At 49.8% G+C, this 20,597-nt stretch overlaps 1 protein-coding gene across 1 annotated transcript; it reads right to left on the reverse strand.

Moving 5' to 3' along the window:
- Positions 1 to 1,257: 1,257 nt before the first annotated feature.
- Positions 1,258 to 19,431, reverse strand: AMBP (alpha-1-microglobulin/bikunin precursor). The gene is made up of 10 exons (NM_001633.4): positions 19,224 to 19,431; positions 17,729 to 17,871; positions 16,091 to 16,167; positions 15,167 to 15,283; positions 14,056 to 14,157; positions 10,830 to 10,876; positions 3,808 to 3,889; positions 2,555 to 2,722; positions 2,056 to 2,229; positions 1,258 to 1,401 (listed from the first exon to the last, which is right to left on the reverse strand). Exons 1-10 carry the CDS (start codon positions 19,338 to 19,340, stop codon positions 1,370 to 1,372), a joined length of 1,059 nt encoding a protein of 352 aa, NP_001624.1. The 5' UTR covers positions 19,341 to 19,431; the 3' UTR covers positions 1,258 to 1,369.
- Positions 19,432 to 20,597: the final 1,166 nt, after the last annotated feature.

Below are 20,597 nucleotides of genomic sequence, written 5' to 3' on the forward strand. Positions count from 1 at the left end.
TCTCACTTCTCCTGGACAATTGCCTGTCTCCCTGCACCTGACCCCACCTGCTTCTGCCCAGAAAGTCCAGGCCGTGACCACAGATGCTGTCCCTCAGGGCAGTCTTCTCTGTTGGAACCTGTAAGCCCCACACTTTGGATGTTGGGGGAGACAAAGGGAGGGTCTTGATGTGTCTGACCCAGGGGACTGCAAAGCTTTCAATCCTCAAATCCTTGTCTCCAGGTTCATCCCCTCAACCAGAAGTATGGAATCCCTCCTTCCTGCCTGCCTGGTCCCTCAAGCCAATGAGCTAAGGGCACAAGGGGCGAACCCAGGACTGAACTAGCCACCGGCCCTTAGGACGCTGGTCACCCACAGAGAAGAGGAGGTAGGGCCCCGCCTGGGTTTCTTCTGCCAGCGTCAGCTCTCCACTTCAGAACACACAAAGCTGGGGCCTCCAATCCCTCCACAGCCACAGCAGCCATCGGGGCTGTGGGTGGATGCAGTTAGCAAGAGATATTTATAAATCAGACGTTTGTAAAGCCTGTGTGTCTACACTGGAGTATCCTGGAGTTGTGTTCTTGGGCCAAGTTTGTCCTGAGCTGCTCTAGACAGCCCACCTACTCCCTTTCCCAAGGGTGAGGAGAAGCCAGCCCAAATCAAGGGCTTCTGGCCCTGGGCCAGGGCCCAGCAGTTGCACTGGACACAATGTGAAGGCCAGTGAGCACTCTCCTTCCAGGACAAAGGCCCAGGGGAAGGTCCCAGGGGATGGGCTCCCCAGGGCCATGCAGAGAAACAGCTGAGGCTTTCCAGCTCCGGTCAGCTGGTTCTGGGGATATGGCTGCAGCTGAAGTAAAACCCTGGGGAGATGTTTTGTACAGCAAAGGACAGGGGAATTATTTCAGGCATTTGTGGGCTGTCTGCCCTGAGCTCCTTGGGCACAGCAGGGCACAATCAATCATTTCTTCTGAGCCTGGGTCACTGATGACCCACCAAACCTCTCCCAGAGACAAGTCCCCAGAGTGTCTTCCTTTCTTTCCTAGCCTTATTACAACAAAACAAAATAATCCCATTTTACACTATTGTAAATAGAACTTTGATTTGTTTCAAAATTTGCATAGCCAACGTCATGTACTGAAGATAGTTCTATTATGTTTCCAACGCAGTTTTCACTTCTGGGGAAAGCTGGGGTTGCATATGGCCCCACCCTGGCTTTTTCTCCCCTCCGCCACCCTGTTAGTTACACTTGTGATGACAATGAACAATGAGGACACAGAATTTCAGGAGTTTACAATTTAGTTTTTATTTGGACCCAGGTTGCTTGGCGCTGCCTGCCACAGGACCCCGGGACAGACACTGGCCATCCTCTGACTTGCAGACCGGCCAGTTGTCAGTTGGAGAAGCGCAGCAGCTCCTCATCACCTGTGGACACAGAGAGACTCAGGGAGGGGTCCGTAGGCAGGGACACTCAGGGAAGGGAAAGCAGCTGTCGCCTGGGGCCAGAAACCTCTGCTTGCTGAATCATTTATCTCCAAAGGGTATTCCATGAAATGATCAGATTTTTTTTTCCTCTTCTGGTTTACCGCAGGTGCCATTTTCCAGTGGGAAAATCAAGGCACAGACATCTTCAATGGTTGCTCTTCCCTGGAATGCTATTACTGTTACCATTGTATCGTTGTCGTTATTATTAGGAGCAGTTGCTGTTAGCTGAGTACTAACTCCGCGTCAGGTACTGGGAAGGCTGGGAGGCAGGTGCTTTGTCCCATTTTACAAGAGAATACTGACACTCAGATTGGCACTTGCTCAACGTTGCAGGTGCAAAATTAGAACCCAGCTCTGCCCCACTCCTCAGTCAGCCCTGCATACCCTCTGCCAGTGCCTGGCTAATAACTCCCCAAGGCCCAATTCCAGCTGGGGTAAGGCCCCAGGCTCAGCCCCATTTCAGAGAGTAGATGGGCTGCTTACCAGGTACAGAGTCCAGAACTCAGCTCTCCAGACCCCTACTCCTCCCAGGGCTCTCCCACCTCGACTCCAACAGCCCCTCGGCCCAGCCTGGCACCCTGCAGGGCTGCCTACCATCACCAGGGACACCGCAGTACTCTCTGCACTCCTTCTCTGAGTAGAACTTGTTCCCGTTGCCCTGGCAGCCCCCGTAGGGGAAGAGGACGCACTTCCCCTTGACAGCATCAAATGCCCAGAGCTGGATGAAGGCTCGGCAGGGGCCCCGGACTATGGGGAGATTGCAGGCCGCTGTGGAGTGGAGAGAGGCATGGAACTTGAGAAACCCTTGTGACTGCTGATCAGACATACATGAGACTGCTGAGCCAGAGGGCCCTGCTCATCTAGAACACCTCATCCCTCGTTGACAGATGGGGAAACTGGGGCCCACAGGAAGAAAATGATTTGCCCGAGGTCCTCCACATCCAAAGGTGGAATTCCTAAGATTTCAGGAAACCGCCTGGAGTTCTACCACTGGAATGCCCTCTGTTAGCTACCTTTTCAATTCGCAGGTGGTTTACTGGAGGGACAGGGTCTTGAGGGTGCAGAGCGCACAGGGGTGGGGACCCGCACTCACCCACAGTTCGGCAGGTCTGCAGACACTCCTTTTCTGTGACGAAGTTGTTACCGTTGCCCATGCAGCCGCCGTACTGGAAAGTCTCACAGGCCATGGATGTACCATTATAGAAATACCTGCTGGTCATTCCCATGCAGGGACCGGCCGAGTAGCCCAGCTGGCAGGAATCTAGGGAGGGGCAGACCAGCAGCACTGACCAAGTGTTGACTGTGTACCCATTATCAGGCTGGGCACTTGATATGCGCCATCTCATTTAATTTTCACTAAAAGGATTATCAATTCTTTTTAGATAAGCAAACTGACTCTCAGAGAGGTGAAGTAACTTGGCCGGGGTCACATAGAGCTAAGATTCAAAACCCTGTCTCCAAAACCAATGCCCATTCCACTCCATGTCATGGGGAGTTACCAGTGAACCACAGGCCCACTGTCCCCCTGTATTGGTCTTGCCTGCCCCAAAACTCTGTAATAGTAGTTGATGACATATGTACCAGCACCCACACTGGCCAGCCTGACCTTTTCACCAAGTCCCACCCACCCTGCCTTTGCTCCCACTGTTCCTTGCTCCCTGGAATGCCACCCTCCATAAAACTTTACCTGGATGCCTGGACACAGTGTGAATTCCCCTTTATCCATGAAGTCCTCCTGATCCCCTCACCCCTCCAACGTCTCAGCTCCCCCTGCCCTTTAGCTGACCCTTCCTTTTGGGCCCATCACCTACTCCCTTGGATGCCTTCCCCACTAGACCAGAAGTTCCAAAATGACACAAGTGGTCTGTGTGACCCTAGTGCCCAGCACAGGGCCTGGGGCGGAGCAGGGTTCAGTGTTTGTTTGCTGATCGAGTTGGAGAGGAAGTTGTTATGTCATGGACACTGTCAACTACACAAAGCATTCACATGTCCCTCCCCGACTTCCTCCTACAAGAGCCCTGATGTTTAGCCCCACAGGCTATTATCCCATAATATGGATGAGGAAACCAAGGCTAGGAGGCCACACAGTCATACAGACAGGGCAAGAACCAGCTTCTCATCATGGAGTTGACAGTTCTCAAGCCCAGGACGATGCCTCATGCTCTTCTCTCTGCCCCCACAACCCCTGGCAGAGTGCAGAGTACTTGATTTGCCTTTTCTCAGTCCAGCCCTTGAGTCTCTAACAGATAAAGAGACTGCACTGATAAGAGTAGCCAGGGTGAGCCAACTGTGGGCCCTTCCTTTCTGGAGTATGGCAGAGGGGGTGAAAAGGCAGGTGTTCATTACCTTCTTTCTTGGTGACTTCAGTTACCAGTTGCCCACCCCCTGATCCTTCCTCTTCTTGGGGTAGCACAGCCCTCCGGACTCTCTGCGGGGGAGAGAAAGAGAAGAAGCAGTTGCAGACTCCTTGCCGCTATTGCTTTCCTGTACCCCTGGAATATATAAATGAACAACTTGCTTTGGGAATCAGGGTAGGTAGGAACACAGCTCTTAGACTGGTTAAAGGAGACTGTTTTCCCAAAAGTGTCAACCTGAATTCCTGAACAGGCATCAGAGGACAGATTTCTGGTCTGAAATGAAATTTAAAACCATGAGGTATGACAATAGCCCCATATCCAACTCCCAGTTGAAGTGCCTAAAGGAATATAGTAATGAAAAGGTACCTCCCAGAGTTGGAAACCAGGGGAGAGCAGCACCCTCACACTAAAGATGTGAAGGCATTGTTGCACAACAGAGCACAGGTGCAACTGGTTTACAGGAAGGGCTGACCAGATCATCATTAGCTGCTTGCAGAAAAAAAAAAAAATCCAGAGAGAAAGAAGGGACCCTGAAACTGATCCTAACTCCTTGCTGTGGTGGTGGGGACTGCAGAGCAGGGCAGGCTGCCAAAGCTGCCAAGAGGGCCTCTGGGTGTAGAGTCCTTGAGGCAGGATCCCAGGGCAATTATAGAAGAGATGAGCAGCCCTGCCCACAGGTGAGACCTGGAACTTGAGAAGGTAGCTGTAGTAATCTCAAAATTTCCCATCTCCTTTTCAGGGGCAACAAAACACTGTGAAAACTGTCAGGGACTTTCACTGTCTTCCAGACCAGTCTTAAGCTGGTGGCATATAGGCTTTCCTTGATGAGGATAGAGAAATGGAGAAAAATCGTGGGACAAGTTAAATACTGCAGCTGCCAGAATTGGGTTGGGATGAAGAAATACCCTTACTAAATGGGAGATATTCTGGATCTTCTGGAATTCAGGTTGATGGCAGTAAGAAACAGAAGAACACTTAAACCTTCCCTGAAATTCAAGATGACATGCATCCAAAAAAACAACAAAAAAAAGATGACATACATCCATATAACAGGAGCCAACAGTGATGGAAATGAATATGTGAAAGTAGAAAATTGTTGAACATTAAAATGATGTTGAATTTAACCACACCATAGAGATGATAAAGTGCAGTTTCCATGCTACAGGAAATAAATCCACATAATAGGATTTCCAGGAGAGAAAATCAATACAGAAATAATAGAAGAAAACTTTTTGAGTTAAAGAAAGATTTGAGTTGCCCAATTATAGGGAAAAAGGGAATCAGGCAAAATTAGGGAAGAGCTCCTTCTTGGACATTCCTAGGGACAAAGAATAAAGAGCCTGGTGGCCCTCAGAGTAAGTGACAGCATTTAACGACAGAAGTCCCAGAGCAATATCTGAAGGTTTTAAGAGGGAAAAGGTTGTAACCCAGGGATCCTTCACTCATCCAAGCCACTGGCCGTATGATATAACCACAGAAAGACATTCTCAGCCTTGCAAGGATTCAGACATTTGCCACCCATGTATCTTTCCTGAAAAAATTATTTGTAGAAATAGTCCCACCAATTAAGAAGGGAATCTAAATGCCAGAAATTAAAGATGTAATGTCAAAGAAATAATGATAAGGTATAAAGCCAATAAAATATAGAGTTTTACAATAAATAATTGCTAACATGGTTATGTGATTTACTGGGAATATTTAGAAACAATTTTTTTTAAAAAAAATAAAGGTAGAAAATGTAAACAATTTCAGATCATATCCACAAAAACAGGTATGGGGAAAAATCTGAAAGGATGAACATGGTGAGAAACGGGAAATAGAAGTGTGCTGTATTTCACTCTTTTGCAAGGGGAGTCATTAGCTTTGGTTTTATTCTTGACATTGATAAAGAAATACAGATTTAGTTGACATCTGGATTAAAAGAGCAGATTGAAACTCTCCTCTAGAGTTCTCCCCCCAATACCTAACATTTAGCAAAAAAAAAAATGAGTTTAAAAGCATAGCCCCAGCCCCCAAATTGTCATCAGTGTCACTCAAGGAAAGGATCCCAACTTAAAGCCAAAAACTTTAAAACTGGCAACCAAGGAAAAAAACACAAGACATTTTGGAACCGAATAGAATGGCTCAGCTGTGCCCTGCAACCTCCAGGCCTGGTATGTCATCAGATTTATTATTCTTCCTAATACTTCTAAATCCAGAAGGAGAAAACTGAGGGGCACCCCATCCCTTTCCTTTCCTGACAGAGGAGTAGTGAACATGCCTTTTGGAGAGAAAGGAGTAAAAAGCAAAAATGGAGTTCACAGAATGGGAGGAATGGTAGTAAAAGTTCCAGGGCTATACAATTGAGTGCTCCAGGACATGTTGTCGTAGGATGGATTATATCACACCAGCCCACCTAGGGATAATGAGCCCCATCCAGAACATTCAGCAGTCCTTCCAAACAGAAGCAGAGGAAGGATGTTATGGATTGAACTGTGACCCCCAAAATTCATATACTGGGGTCCTAACCCCCCAGAACCTCAGAATGTGACCTTATTTGGAAATCAGATTGTTCAGATGCAATTAATTAAGATGAGGTTATTAGGGTGGACCCTAATCCAATATGAGTGGTGTCCTTATAAACGGGTGATTCGCACACATAGAGAACTCCCTGTGAAGATAAAGGTGGGAATTGGGATGATGTTTTTAACAAGCCAAGGAACACCAGAGACTGCCAGCAAACCACCAGAGGCCATGGGAGAGACACGGCACAGATTCTTTCTCGAAGCCCACAGAAGGAACCAACCCTACCAACAACTTGATCTTGGACTTCTGGCTTCCAGAACTGTGAGACAGCAAATCTGTGTTGTTTAAATCCCCAGCTTGTGGTTCTCTGTTACGGCAGCCCCCGGAAACACACAGACAGTATTCAGACCCGCATGTGCACCTCGGGGCAGTTCATTACCCCACCCCCACCCCCACCCTCACCATTCCCTTGGACTTTACAAAAGTTGATGAACATAAAACACCCAGATCTTACACTAAAGTAGGATGGGGCTAGGGGGAGGTGGGATTGGGCTCAAATTTGATGGGAAGAGGACCAAGGAGTAAATGACACCTCCCATTGTACCAGAACAAACAGAAAGTCTGGATAAAGCTGACGAAGAAGAAGCAAGATGAAGATAAATGGTACAGAAACTACCCAAACCCACCTCAGAAGTGAATAAAAAAATAAATAACCTGAATAAGAGAAAGAGCCCAGCTGTGGTGGACACCTTAATAAACTACCTGGATTTCCCTCAGCAATGGATGTACTTTCTCAGTCGCTGGCAGTGCTACTGTCAGACAGCCCCCAGGGGTCAGCCCCTTTTGGGGACTGTGGCAGCTAAAGGAGCCATCTTACCCAAGGTCATGCGCACCTCCCAGACTGATCAACACAGGGGTATTAGGGCTCAGCCCCTTTGCAGCATCTTGGGACGTCTCTGAAATGTCAGAGGTCCCTGTAGTGTTGGCTGAGGCATTGTAACTGCATCACAGCTGGACTGCTTCCTCTGCCCTATCCTGCCTTCATGTCTTCTCCCCTACAGGTGTTGGTCCTGGGGAACCCAACCTGTGATACCAGAAGAAAACAGAACTCAAGAAACAGAAGGAAATTCCTCAATGCCTTCAAGCTATAGAATTACTTAATCAGAACATGCATTTATGTGCACGTGTGTGTGTGTGTGTGTGTGTGTGTGTGTGTGTGTAGAGATGGGGTCTTGCTATGTTGCCCAGGCTGGTCTTGAACTCCTGGCCTCAAGCAGTCTTACTGCCTCAGCCCCGCAGAATGCTGGGATTATACGCATGAGCAAAAACAACAGAATAAGATGAAAAGAGAAAATCCAAGCCTACAGAAACAAATTGAGAACCAAAACAACATAATTCAGAACCAGCAAATAAATTAGAAATAGAAATAGCAAGGAACAGAATGAAATGACGGTCTGCACAAAGGAATGACTGCTAAAAATGCAATGAATGTCATAGGAGAGAGACTAGTGATAATCCCAGTGAATGCAGATGGAAACGACAAAGAGATGAAAGCGACTGGGAAGAAACTAATAGATGTGGAAGGCAAAGATGCTCCTGGATGAGAGAACAAGTGTTCCCGAGGTAGCAAAACCCAACAAAAGGAAGGAAGATAAACTCAATGATATCAAGAGAGATTTCCCTCAAACACAGAAGAAATGTAATCTGTATATGAAAAGAGAACATTGAATTCCAGGATGTGTTGTTATTATTATTATTATTATTTTGAGACAGAGTCTTGCCCTGTCACCCAGGCTGGAGTGCAATGGCGCGATCACGGCTCACTGCAACCTCTGCCTCCCGGGTTCAAGTGATTCTACTGCCTCAGCCTTCCAAGTAGCTGGGACTACAGGCCTCAGCCACCACACCCAGCTAATTTTTGCATTTTTAGTAGAGATGGGGTTTCACCATGTTGGCCAGGATGGTCTCGATCTCCTGACCTCTTGATCTGCCCGCCTCACCTCCCAAAGTGCTGGGATTACAGGTGTGAGCCACTATGCCTGGCTCAGGATGTATATTTTAAATAGAGACAAGGTCTCACTGTTGCCCAGGCTAGAGTGCAGTGGCACAATCATAGCTCACTGTAACCTAGAACTCCTGGGCTCAAGCAATACTTCCTCCTCAGCCTCCCGATTTGCTGGGACTACAAGTGCCACCCACTGAGCTGGCTAATTTAAAACAAACAAACAAACAAACACACTTTTTGTAGAGATGGAATCTCACTATGTGGCCCAGACTGGTCTCAAACTCCTGGCCTCACGTGATCCTTCTGCCTCACCTTCCCAAAGTGCTGAGATTACAGGAATGAGCCACTGCACCCAACCCCCAATAAATTTTTAAATAGAATTTTCAACATCAAGACAGGTTTTGTTAAGATGTTGATTTTAATGATAAAGTTTTCCCAGGCATCTGAACAGAAGAAATAAATTGCCTACAAAGAGAAGAAATATCACACGGGTCTCGGGCTTTTTCATAGCAATAATCGGCGCTTGAGAACAATGGAGTAACATATACAAAGTTCTAAGGGAAGGAACACGCGACCCAAGACTGTTGCACCCAAGCAAAATGGCATCAAATATGAAGGAAACTGACTGACCTTCTCAAACATGGGAGAATTCATGGACTGAAACACCCATGAACCCTCCTCAAAAACACCACCTGGCAAAGAAATGGCACTAATTAAGAGAATAATAGAAATAAATAACTCGGGAACGGAGAAGCTGTGGTTATATTCACTACAGGTAAGAACAGAATCCACTAAAGTATAGAACTACTTCTAAAAGATGGGATTATGGAGACAGAGAAGACGGGAATGGTATCGATCTAGACAATTTAAAAGACAAAAGAAATTTTCGAAGAGTTGCCACAGAGTTTCACTCTCAAAGGGAGTGCTCCTGTCTGTCTTTCAAGTCACGGAGATAATAAATATACTCTTTAAAAATATACAGTGATGGCAGCCTCTTAAATGTCTTTTCACAACCTTGACTTTAGAAGAATCTTTAGGACATAAATCCTCTCATGACTAAATATTCATTTGAAGATCAAGAAGTCCACTTCAGTTTCTTTAAACAAAAAAAAAATCAAAAGTCCAGGCACAGTGACTCACGCCTGTAATCCCAGCACTTTGGGAGACCAAAGCGGGTAGATCTTCTGAGGTCAGGAGTTCAAGACCAGCCTGGCCAACATGGCAAAACTCTGTCTCTACTGAAAAAAAAAATACAAAAATTAGCCAAGCGTGGTAGTGGGCACCTGTAATCCCAGCTACTCAGGAGGCTGAGGCAAGAGAATCACTTGAACCCGGGAGGCGGAGGTTGAAGTGAGCCAAGATCATGCAGCTGCACTCCAGCCTGGGTGACAGAGTGGGACTCTGTCTCAATTAAAAAAAAAAAAATTCAAGTAAAACCACAATTAATGCTTTTAAAAATTAGAAATAGCACTTGTAATATAATCCCATTTAATAACAGTATATCTAAATTTGATCATCCATTTGTCCTTTTTTCTATAAGTCCTTTTATCCATATGTGTGGCAAGATTCCAGAAACTGTGTGACTGCTGATAGTTTTGAGGTGGTGAGATTAAAAAAAAAAAAAAAAAAAAAAAACCTTTACTTACCTTTATACTTTTCTGTGTTCCTCTAATTCTTTATAATGACCATTTATTAGTTTTGTAAGATCAATGGTCATTTTCTTTTAAAATATAGGAGCAAATATCTAATGTGTTAACTGTTAATTCTACATAGGAACAAGGACATTTTGTCTTTTGTGGGGGGTTTATAGTTTCGCAATTTTCAAGAATATTTTTCCAAATAAATATCACATATATTTATATATATACACATATATATATACACACACAGATATATACCCATGTACATACATACATACATTAGTAGAATAGGATATATAATTTTCCAAATAATCAGAGACAAGAGAATGAAGAAAGTGTAACTGATGTGGCAAAATGCAAGAAAATAAAAGAGAAGCATAGGAAAGCCCCAAAATCAGAAGGCAACATAGGAAAAGAGAAGGCTTGAGAAGCTGCTTGTTCTCAGGTTTGCTGATTTTTAGGGAAATCAATTGATTTCTTTTCATGCTGAATATCATTATTTCATTATTGAGGATTGTTATTTCATTATTGAGTGTTTTACTTCTTTTAGATGCTTTTAGGCACTGTGCTAAGAACTTTTCTATATGTCATTAAATTCTGCCACAAGCCCAGAAGGTAATTGTGATTATCCTGTTTTGAAGATGAGACAAGTGAGGTCCAGATGGATTGGCAACTAGTCCAGGTGGCAGAATCAAGATGGAGCCCCAGTGAGTCTGACTTCAACACTCATGGCCATCGCTGCCTTCTCTCACCCCCTCCCCATGACTCTGCCTCCCCCCGCAGCAGGATCAAGTGTGCAGCGTGCCTGGGGCAGAGTGGGGTGGGATGGGGTGGGATGGGGTCGGGGGATGAGGCACTCACCGGGATTAAGATGGGCTCTGGTTCCTGCTCCCCAGGGACACATTCACCTAGGTCACAGAGCAGGAGAGAGGAGTGAATAACAGGACCAGGCCCAGGGGCCATCCTAGACCCGGATTTGTATCTTTGGTGAGCATCGTGCTGGGAACTTGTCGTGCCTTAGTCCACTTCATGAATGGTCCTGCCTGTGTGGCTTGCTCAAGGCCATTCACTGGAAAAGCAAGAGACTGGTGGCTGCACCATCATTACCATCTATCCACTCCACCCCACCCCACTAGCATCATTTTATCAGCATCATGGAAAGAATAGCAATAGCTAACACTGACTGAGCATTTATGAGCACAGTGCTATTGTACTTAATGGTTTTATTGCATTGCCTTTTACAGCAACTTCTAAGGAAGGTGTTATTATGCCCAATTTACAGAGGAGGGAAATGAGGCTCTGAGAAGTTGACTAGCCAGAGGCCACACAGCTCAGTTCGAACCCAGGTGCTCTTGATGGCAGCAGTGGGCCATCCGGAGTGGCCGCGGCCATCACACTGGCTGCAGTGGGGAGGCACGAGCACTGGTGGTAGCAGTGACTGCGGAAGTGGCAGTGGTGGAGCTGGGACCCCTGTGGCTCCCACCCCTGAGGCAGGCAACTGTGCCACCCCCATCCTTATGCAGCCAGGTAGACCCCACTCCCAGGCCCAGAGCCTCTGTTGCTCCACACTCTGGCTCCACCTTGCCATCCTCGCCCACCATCACTGCGGAGAGGTCATGGGGAGGAGGCTGACAGCCCCCGGAGCCCACCTCTGGGAGCCCCTGGAGCCTGCCACCCTGGCGGCCGTCACGATGGGGCTGGGCTGAGTCACCTGCCAGCAGGGGAGCAATACAGTTGGGCAGAGAGGGCCCCTGAGGCAGAGCTGGGCCCAGGGCAGTGCTGCACTTGCACACAGAGCATGGGGCTGGGCCTGGGGCGTGGAGCTGGGGCGTAGCCTTGGGACCCTGGGGTGGGAAATGGGAGTGGCGTCCGCTTCAGGGACCCAGCCAGTGGCATGGCCACCAGGCCCACCCCACTAAGGGCACCAGGTTCCTGTGCCTTGGGAGGAGGCTGTGTGTGAAGCCACCAGGGGCCATGTCCCCAGGGTCCACCCCACATTGGGGTGACTGTCAAGCCTGATACTCTGGATGGCTGGGCCTGGGGCCTGCAATCCATTCCTGGAAGCACCCCTTGGGCAGGGCTGCGAGCCAGGCAAGGGGAGCCTCAGGCCACCCCTGAGTGCTGGGGCCATGGAGGGAGCTTGCCACGATGTCACCCCAGCCCCAGACACCAGCCTGGGCCCAGCAAGGGCCCACAGCCCCTGCCTCAGGCTGCAAAGGGGTGTGGCTGGGGCTGCACACCCCATTGAGCTGGTGGGAGCTGGGCACAAGTGGGAGCCCTGCCCCTTCTGAATTGGTGGGATAGGAGCTCCCCAGGTGCAGCAGCAGCCGCCCTGCTGTGGCTGTGGACCCAGGCATTTCTGCACTCTCAGGGCCCAGGAAGGTCCCCTGCCCACCACAGACTCTAGGATGCCTGCTCCCACTGCCTGGCTTCTCTCTGCTGTTGGTGCCTGCTTTATTTTGGAGCAAGATCAGGGCTGAGCCAGGGTGCTGTTGCAGCCTGGACAGGTATGCACATGCTCAGGGCAGTGCTGACGTGCCAGCTCCCAGCTGCCTCAGCCCCCTCCAGACTTTGGGTGCCAACAAGCGTGGAAGGGAGGCCGAGTGGGGGCTGATGGCAGCCTGACACTGGCCTGCAGGCGCCCCTTGGCATGAACAGCCTGGGTGCCATGAATAGCAGCAGGAGGCTGACAGGCTCCTGAGTGGAAGGAGGCTGGTCCCCAGTGAAGCCCCACTTTCAAGCTGGGGAGGGCCTGAAGCCTGGGGCCTGGGCCACCAGTCCTGTGAACCAGATGGGGAAGTTGGGGTGCTTTTCCCTGGGCCTACCCATGGCCGCCCATGGGCCAGTCAGTACAAACTTGCGTACAGAGCACCCATAAAAACCCCAGACTCAGCCAGATTCGAACAGAGGACAGAGAGACAAGGGGAGACAATGGGATGACTTGCCTGCAGAGAGGAGACACACACTCTAGGGCCTCCTCTCTGCTGAGAGCTGCAGCCTCAGCAGATGACCTGCCTGCAGAAAGGAGCTTCCCATTCCAGGGTCTCCTCTCTGCTAGGAGCTGAACACTCATCAGAACACCCTGGCTGCAGAAAGGAGCTGCCCACTGCAGGTCCCCTCCAAGCTGTTCTATTGCTCAGTAAAGCTCCCCTTCATCTCGCTCACCCTACATTTGTCTGTGTACCTCATTCTTTCTGGTCACAGGACAAGAACTTGGGACCCACAAAATGGCAAGGCTAACTGTAACACAAACAGGGCTGAAACATGCCCTTTGCTCACCACATTGCAGGTGAAGAGAAGGAGAGAAAAGCTGCAGCCCTTTGGGGAGCCCAGACCTGGGAGCTCCACCAGCCAGGACTGTAACTCCCTCTTTGGGGCCCTGCAGTTCTTGGCATCTCCGAGCTTCCAAGCACCACTCCATTCCCTGGCGCCAGCTGGGAAATCTGCTTGTGGTGCACCTGGTCCAGCCATACCCTTACAGAGTGCTGGCACCATGCCAGCACCTGGAGCTGCCCACCCCATGGCAGCAGCCAGTATGTTTGACTGCAGTGGCTGGACCCCACCCTCACTCACACATCCCTTGCCGCTTCATGCCTGAGTTGCAGTCTCCCTTGGAGGTGTGGGATCCAGGCCAGTAGCATGAGCCAAGCACGGTCTACCAGGCCAAGTGGGTGGAACAAGCCCAGCAGGCCCAAGCAAAACTCAGGCAAAGGCACCACTGGCCACAGAGGTTTCCAGCCAGAAAAGCAATGCCCCAAAGATCCCGTAACACTCTGATTCCTGAGCCCACTTTCTTAATCCCAAAACTCTTTTGCCTCCTAAGAGGTATCTGTGGATTCTGGCTACAACCTCCCTGAGACACATGGCAGTAGAATGAACACTGAATGGGTTCTAGTCTAAGCTCTGCTAGGAATAAGCTGTGAGACTTGGAGCAAATCCACTGGCTTCCTGATTCACTATGGAGGGGAGGCTGTGGCGCCTTTTTATCTCAGAGGGTTATAGTAAGGACCCAGGGGCTGGGATGGTCTCTGGCGCCCACAAGGGACGAAGAGGGGACAGGAATTTGAGGCGGAGGGGTGCTATGTACCTCGGTCAGCCATGGTGAAGATGGAGTCCTCAGGGATGCCCACACCCTGGGCAACCACTCTGAAGTCCTGCAGGAGAGTTTCCCTCAGCTGCGGCGCCCGCCCTGCAAGGAGGAAGCAGAGGAGACGCCTAGAACCACCAGGTGCTTGGAGTGGAAGGGCCTGAAATGATTTTGCCCAGTGATTTTCACTTAGGGAAAATTTGAAAACTATTGATGCAGTTTAATCTATTTGATACACTGAAGGAAAGACAGGCTCCCAAGAGGAAGAGGGGTCTCTCCCAGGTTCCCACCCAGGTCTCCTGAGTCCCCACAAAGGACTCTTCCCCTTTTTTTTTTTTTTGAGACGGAGTCTCACTCTGTCGCCTAGGCTGGAGTGCAGTGGCGTGATCTCAGCTCACTGCAAGCTCTGCCTCCCGGGTTCCCGCCATTCTCCTGCCTCAGCCTCCTGAGTAGCTGGGACTTCAGGCACCTGCCACCACGCCCAGCTAATGTTTTGTATTTTCAGTAGAGACGGGGTTTCACCATGTTAGCCAGGATGGTCTCAATAGCCAGGATGGTCTCAATCCCTGTTTTTTTTTTTTTTTTTTTTTTGAGACAGGGTCTTGCTCTGTTGCCCAGGCTGAAATGCAGTGGCACAATCATGGCTCATTGTAGCCTCATACTCCTGGGCTCAAGTGACCCTCCTGCCTAAGCTTCCTGAGTAGCTGGGACTGCAAGCACACATGCACTATGCCCAGCTAATTCTTTAATTTTTTGTAGAGATGCTGTCTCAGTATATTGCCCAAGGTGGTCTCAAACTCCTGGCCTCAAGCAATCCTCTTGCCTTGGCCTCTCAAAGTGTTGGGATTACAGGTGTGAGCCACAGCCCCCAGTCCCCACTGGTTCTTTTAAGGGCCTGGAGGCTCTGTAATTCTCTGGGCCTGGAATTTTAGAGATCAAAAAGAGAGAATTTCACCTCCTCCAGGGAGACTCAGTGATTGTACCTTTCTCCAAATTGGAGTTTTGTCAGAAGGAAAAAGCAAAACTCCCTGTGCTTACCCACTCCACTGTCCATAAATCAATGTCCTCCCACCCTTAACTCCAATGGGCACATCTAGTAATGAGCCTTTACCGTAGAGCTTGGCAGTAATGGTGGGTCCATGATGGCGGCTGAATTTCTTGGTCAGGAAAATGGCATACTCATCATAGTTGGTGTGGACCACATAGGACTCCATGGTTATGTTCCATTCTGCATGGGAGGTGCAGGCAGACCAAAGGGATCAGTGGTCAGTAGACTCTTCTAGCTGGAGGTCCGTCACCTGTTTACTCACACATCATCTCCTCATCCATCCATCTATCCACCCATGCCTTCCATATCTCCATTTATCAATTCATCCATATTCAATCTCTCCCTATCCACCCATCTATCTCCTCCATGTACTCACATTAATTCATCCACCATCACTCAATCCATCTATCCTCTCCATACATCAATTCTCCCTTCCTTCCTTCTTTCCCCTATCACTCCATCAATTTACCTATTAGGTAACTGACTCTTTGACTCATTTATCCTTACATATATTCAGTCACCAATCATTTGTTCATTCATCCATCTATCTAGCCAAACATTCATATATTCAGCCGTAACACAATTGTTTGGCACATAGAGCATATTCAATAAACATTTTCTGAACTAACAAATAAATTAATGTCCAAATCCCTCTCTCACTTAGCATCATGCACACTGTACGTGGTAGATGCTTAGTAAATTTTTATCAGCTGATAGCAGGTGCCTAAGAAGACATGAAGACTGGCGAAATCAGCACCATCACCCTACTCTGGGCATGGGCACTGGGTGGGGGCAGGGAAGGAGAGAGGGAAGGGGAGGAGGAGAGGAGGAGAAGGAGGAGGAGGAAGAGGAGGAGTTGTTTGGGGGAAGGCTAGATGACATCTCAGCTAAATGGGAGGAAAGGTTACAGAGGCAGAGGGAGCTGAGGACATCAAGGTATTTTCAAGCAAAGGAGAGAATGCATGTGTCTCTTTCCACTCCACTTACTGGATTTGTGATAGAGAAACTTCCCATCAGTATCTGTTTTCTCATAAGCTCCAGACGTCTCCTCACAGACACCTTTCCTAGAAATGAACAAATCAAAAGGAAGGTCACTCCTGGTAGAGATCATGGTCCTGACACTCAACCCTCCTGCAGGGCTCTTTCCAAATGCCTTGGTTTTGGGGTTTTTTTGTTTGTGTGTTTTTGTTTGCTTTTTAATTCGGAAATGAACATTTCCAAATGTCTTGTTTAATCCTCACACTAGCCCTGAGAGACCCCCATTTTCCATATGATGGAGGGACAAAGAAGAAGAGACAAATCCATGCCATCCTCCTGGCAAAGCCAGCACTAATGCCGCCTTCCTTAATCAAATCTACACATTATACTGAGGCAGGAGGAGCTGGAGTGATGAATTCCTACAGTCATCCATGTATTGTTCTGTGTCTCTCTTGCCCCAGTTTTCTCATTTATAAAATGGGGATCATGATAGTTTCTACCTCACATGGTTAGTGTGAGGGTCAACTGACACATATGTAAAGAACTTGGAGGAAGCACTATATACGAATTAGCTATTATTGTTACAATGAGCACTATTTATCCAATGGATATTTATTGGGCAGCACCTATGTGGCAAGCCCTGTGCTACATGGCAGGGATACATGAGAGAGCAAGACAGACCCCATTCCCTGGGGTTCCTGGAGCTTGCAATTGCGTGGGTCAGGCAGGCAGGTGAGAGGCAGATGCAATCAGTGTGAGAAGTACCACATGGGGGTAAGTGTGAGGTCCTCTTCGGGCACAAAGAAGGGCATGTAACCTGAACCTGGGTGTCTGGGAGGGCTTCCTGGAGGAGGTGACATGAAACCTGAGTTCTGAAGAATCCACAGGAACTAATTAGCCCAGGGAAATGAGGAGAGGTGCTCCCAGTAAAAGGGACATCAGGTGCAAGGACCTGGAGGCGTGAGAGTTCCAGAACTGAAAGCAGGTTCACGTGAGTAGGACTCAGAGTACATAGCAGAGTGTGTGGCAGGAGTTCTGGGTGCTGGGAGGGTCCTGGAAAGCCACATCAAGAGTTTGAATCTTACTCCCAGGGCATTGGGGAGTCATGGAAGGGTCTCGAGCAGATGTGAGTTTTCAAAAGGTCTTTCTGGTTACTGGGTGAAGAGGGGATGGGGTGGAAGGGTGGAGGTCAGAGGTGAGGAAAGAGTAGAGAGGTTGTGGCAGACAACCAGGAAAGAAAGGGAGGTGGCTTGGACCAGGATGGTGGCAGTGGAGAGGGGAGAAGTGAACAGGTTGGGGGGGATTTAGGAGGAGAATGGGCAGGACTTGATGATGGGTGACAGGGGAGAGAGGAGCCCAGTTCCCAGGTTGGGTCCCTGGGGGGCTGAAGTACCCACACTGGGCTAAGGAATGCCCAAGGGGGAGGAGCAGTTTGCAGAACAGGCACAGTGCTGGGACACTGCCCTCGAGGAATAGATAGGACACCTGAAAAGGGCCGTCCTGGTGGAGGAGCGTAGAGGGATCTGGGGTTCAGCGGGAAGGTCCTGACTGGAAGCAGAGATCTGCAACTTCCCAGGATGGACGGGGCTGGGAAGGTTGTGGGTCTCTGGGTCTCTCTCAGCTTTCCAGCCCCACCCTAGTGCTCACCGCCAACGAGTGCTGGTCATGCTGATCTCCGCCTCTGTAGCGCCCTCTCCCAGCACCAGCGTGCTCACTGTCATCCTGTCCATGATCTTCTTCAGCCAGGGGCAGGTGGAACCGATGGCCAGGTTGTACCACTTCCCATAGATCTAGGAGGCAGGTGAGCTCTGGGGGTCTGCATCAGTCTCAGACCTCAAAGCAGACCTGGCTGACATCTGCTCCCCACCCTCCACCTCCTCCTCTTCCTCCTCCTTCTCCTCAAAATGACTTATCCTTTTAAGGGATAATGTCTTACAACTAATCAGAGGCCACACACCTTCAAGGGAGGCCAGATCCCTAAGAGTGGCGTTTCAGGCATCACAGCGAACCCAGGAAGCAGGTGTGCGGCTGGGGTCCCAACCTGCCCTGCAGAAGGGCTAACTCTCTCAAGATGTGGGATCTGTCCATAGCTCCATCAACCACTGCTCCCCAAGAGCTGGAGTCCTGTCTTTTACTCCTCCAATGATGGGGTGCTCCCCACCTTGCAAGGCAGCCCACAGCCCCATGTTAGGAATTATTTCAAAAGTATAATGAACATGATGGGGTCATTCAGGATAGGCCTGCTTCCTCTTCCTCCTGAAAGTGCACGGGACAGCTGAAGGAGCCCTCAGGCTCCTACGGAACAGGCCAATGTGCCCCACACCCTTTGCGTCCCAGACTGCCACAGGGACCTGCTCCTCATTGCCCCTCTGCCACGACCTTTCCTTGTCCCTAAAAGTAAACAAAACCCACATGACACCACAGCTAGAAGGTTCTGAGACCCTTCATACAGACATGGAGACAGCCCCAGGTGGGCAAGGGTATTCTCAAAGCCACCCCGGGATTTAGGGCAGAGTGGGGGCTGGAAGGCAGCTCTGGCACTCCACACTCACAGGAGAGTGTCCTGCCCCAGTCCAGGTCTCTCCTTGTGCCCAAGCCTCTGAATGTCTCCCAACCCTAATCTCTGTCCTGCTTCACCTCTTCCCATAAGCCCCACATGCCCAACCCAAAAGCTGCTGGCCACATGCCCACGCTGTGCCACCCCAGGTGTCTGTCCACAGTCAGGCCAGGATGTGGGCAGGGGACACAGGAAGAGCTAAGGGAAAGATGCCACAGAGAGAGGGGAGTCATTAGAGAAGGAAGGGCTGGGAGGTCTGGGCAAAGCTAGGTGTCTGCACGGGGGCTGCAGGGCAGTGGCAGGCAGGACAAAGCCTTCTCTGGAGCAGGTTCCCATTAACACAAGGGTTCCCCTTGGAGCCCACGAGGACAGTGCAGAAGGTGAGGATGTTTGACTCATAGAATGTCAGCCAAGAGACCCACGGAATGGCAGGGGATAGAGCTGTACCTTCAAAGGATCCCATAATCCCAGATGATCTGAGTGGAAGCCTGAGACCCCGAGACAGGCCGCACTTGCCCAGCAGGGCCCATCTGCCTGGACTCCCCATCACCACATCCACCCTACCACAGAGAGCGGCAGCCTTACCCGAGAGATATTGAAGTTTTCCTGCACTTGGATGTTGTCGGGCGGCGTTGGCACAGGGCCAGCGCTCACCGCCAGGCAGGCGCTCAGCAGCAAGAGCAGGGCCCCGAGGCTCCTCATGGCTATGGGCTCCTCTGCCTTGGTATATCCCACAGGCTCGGTCTAGCAACAGAAGGGCCACCGCCTCCCTGCAACAGGGCAGCTGTGAACTGAGGCTGGGGAAGGGGCCTGTGGCTTGTAGTTGACCTCAGTGTTTGCCCTGCTCAGCTGGGGCCAATTACAGCCCCAAGGACAGCTCCAATCGATCCCTGTAGCCTGGCTGGGGTCAGCAGTACCAAGAGGCCGGGATGGCTGCTTCAGAAGAGGCATTGGCCAAGCACAATAGGGCCCTGGAGCACCAGGATTGGGCTCCGCCCCCCAAAAGTCCCCCACAGAGGGCATGCGAGGATGGGGAGCGACCTGGCCTTTCTGCTGAGTCATGCCATCTGGACCTCACAGCTCTGTGAGCCAGCAGGTCAAGCCTGATTGGGCCCATTTCTCACAGGAAAAAACTGAGGCCCAAGGAGAGGAAGTGACTTGCCAGAGACCTCAGGGAAGTCTATGGGCAGAGCCAAGACCAGAACCCAGGTATCCTGTCTCCAGAGTTCCTTCTCCAGCCCCCAGGCTTGCCCTAGCCTTTGCAAATAATAGAGACATTAACAATGATGACTGTTACGAGCTTCCGTTCACTGAGCACCTGCTATGTGCTGGCTGTGTACCAGGCACTTTACACGTGCCACAGGTGTCCAGTAAATCCCCACAACAAGCTTACGAAGTAGGTGCTATTTGTCCCCTTTACAGGCAGAGGAGTTGAGTCTCCAAGAAGTGAAGTGACTTGCCCAGAATCCCTCAGCCGGGAGTGGAGTAGCTGGGAAAGGCGTGGTAGAGACCATGGACGTGGGAGCCAGGCAGCCTACAGTGGCACTCACTGCTGTGTGACCTTGGGCAAGTCACTTTACCTTTCAGTGCCTTGGTTTCCTCATCTGTAAATGGGGATAATAATAGTTCCTAGCTCCTAGCATTGTTGAGTGAGCACCTGCAATGCGCTAGGACAGTACCCAGCATAGAGTAAGAGCTGAGTGTTTGTGGTGGGTTGAACAGTGCCCCCTCCAGAATCCATGTGCACCCCGAACCGCAGAATGAACCTGATTTGCAGATGTGATTAGTTAGATGAGGTTGAACTGGATGACAGGGGTTTTAAATCCAATGACCGGTATCTTTATAAGAGAATGGTGAGGGAGACTCAGACACAGGGACACAGAGAGAAGCACGGGGAAGATGTGGCGTGACGCCGAAGGCAGAGATGGGAGGGATGCAGTGACACGTCAAAAATCACCA

This window comes from Homo sapiens, chromosome 9 (assembly GCF_000001405.40).
Source record: "Homo sapiens chromosome 9, GRCh38.p14 Primary Assembly".
Taxonomy (NCBI): Eukaryota; Metazoa; Chordata; class Mammalia; order Primates; family Hominidae; genus Homo; species Homo sapiens.

Excerpts from the sequence above, each read along its gene's own strand:
- AMBP (NM_001633.4), bottom strand. The coding sequence starts at position 19,340 with ATGAGGAGCCTCGGGGCCCTGCTCTTGCTGCTGAGCGCCTGCCTGGCG. Across the intron at positions 3,890-10,829 it reads CAGAGCCCATCTTAATCCCG|AGAGTCCGGAGGGCTGTGCT; the intron begins GTGAGTGCCTCA and ends TCTCCCCCGCAG. Across the intron at positions 1,402-2,055 it reads CTGCGGTGTCCCTGGTGATG|GTGATGAGGAGCTGCTGCGC; the intron begins GTAGGCAGCCCT and ends CTGTGTCCACAG.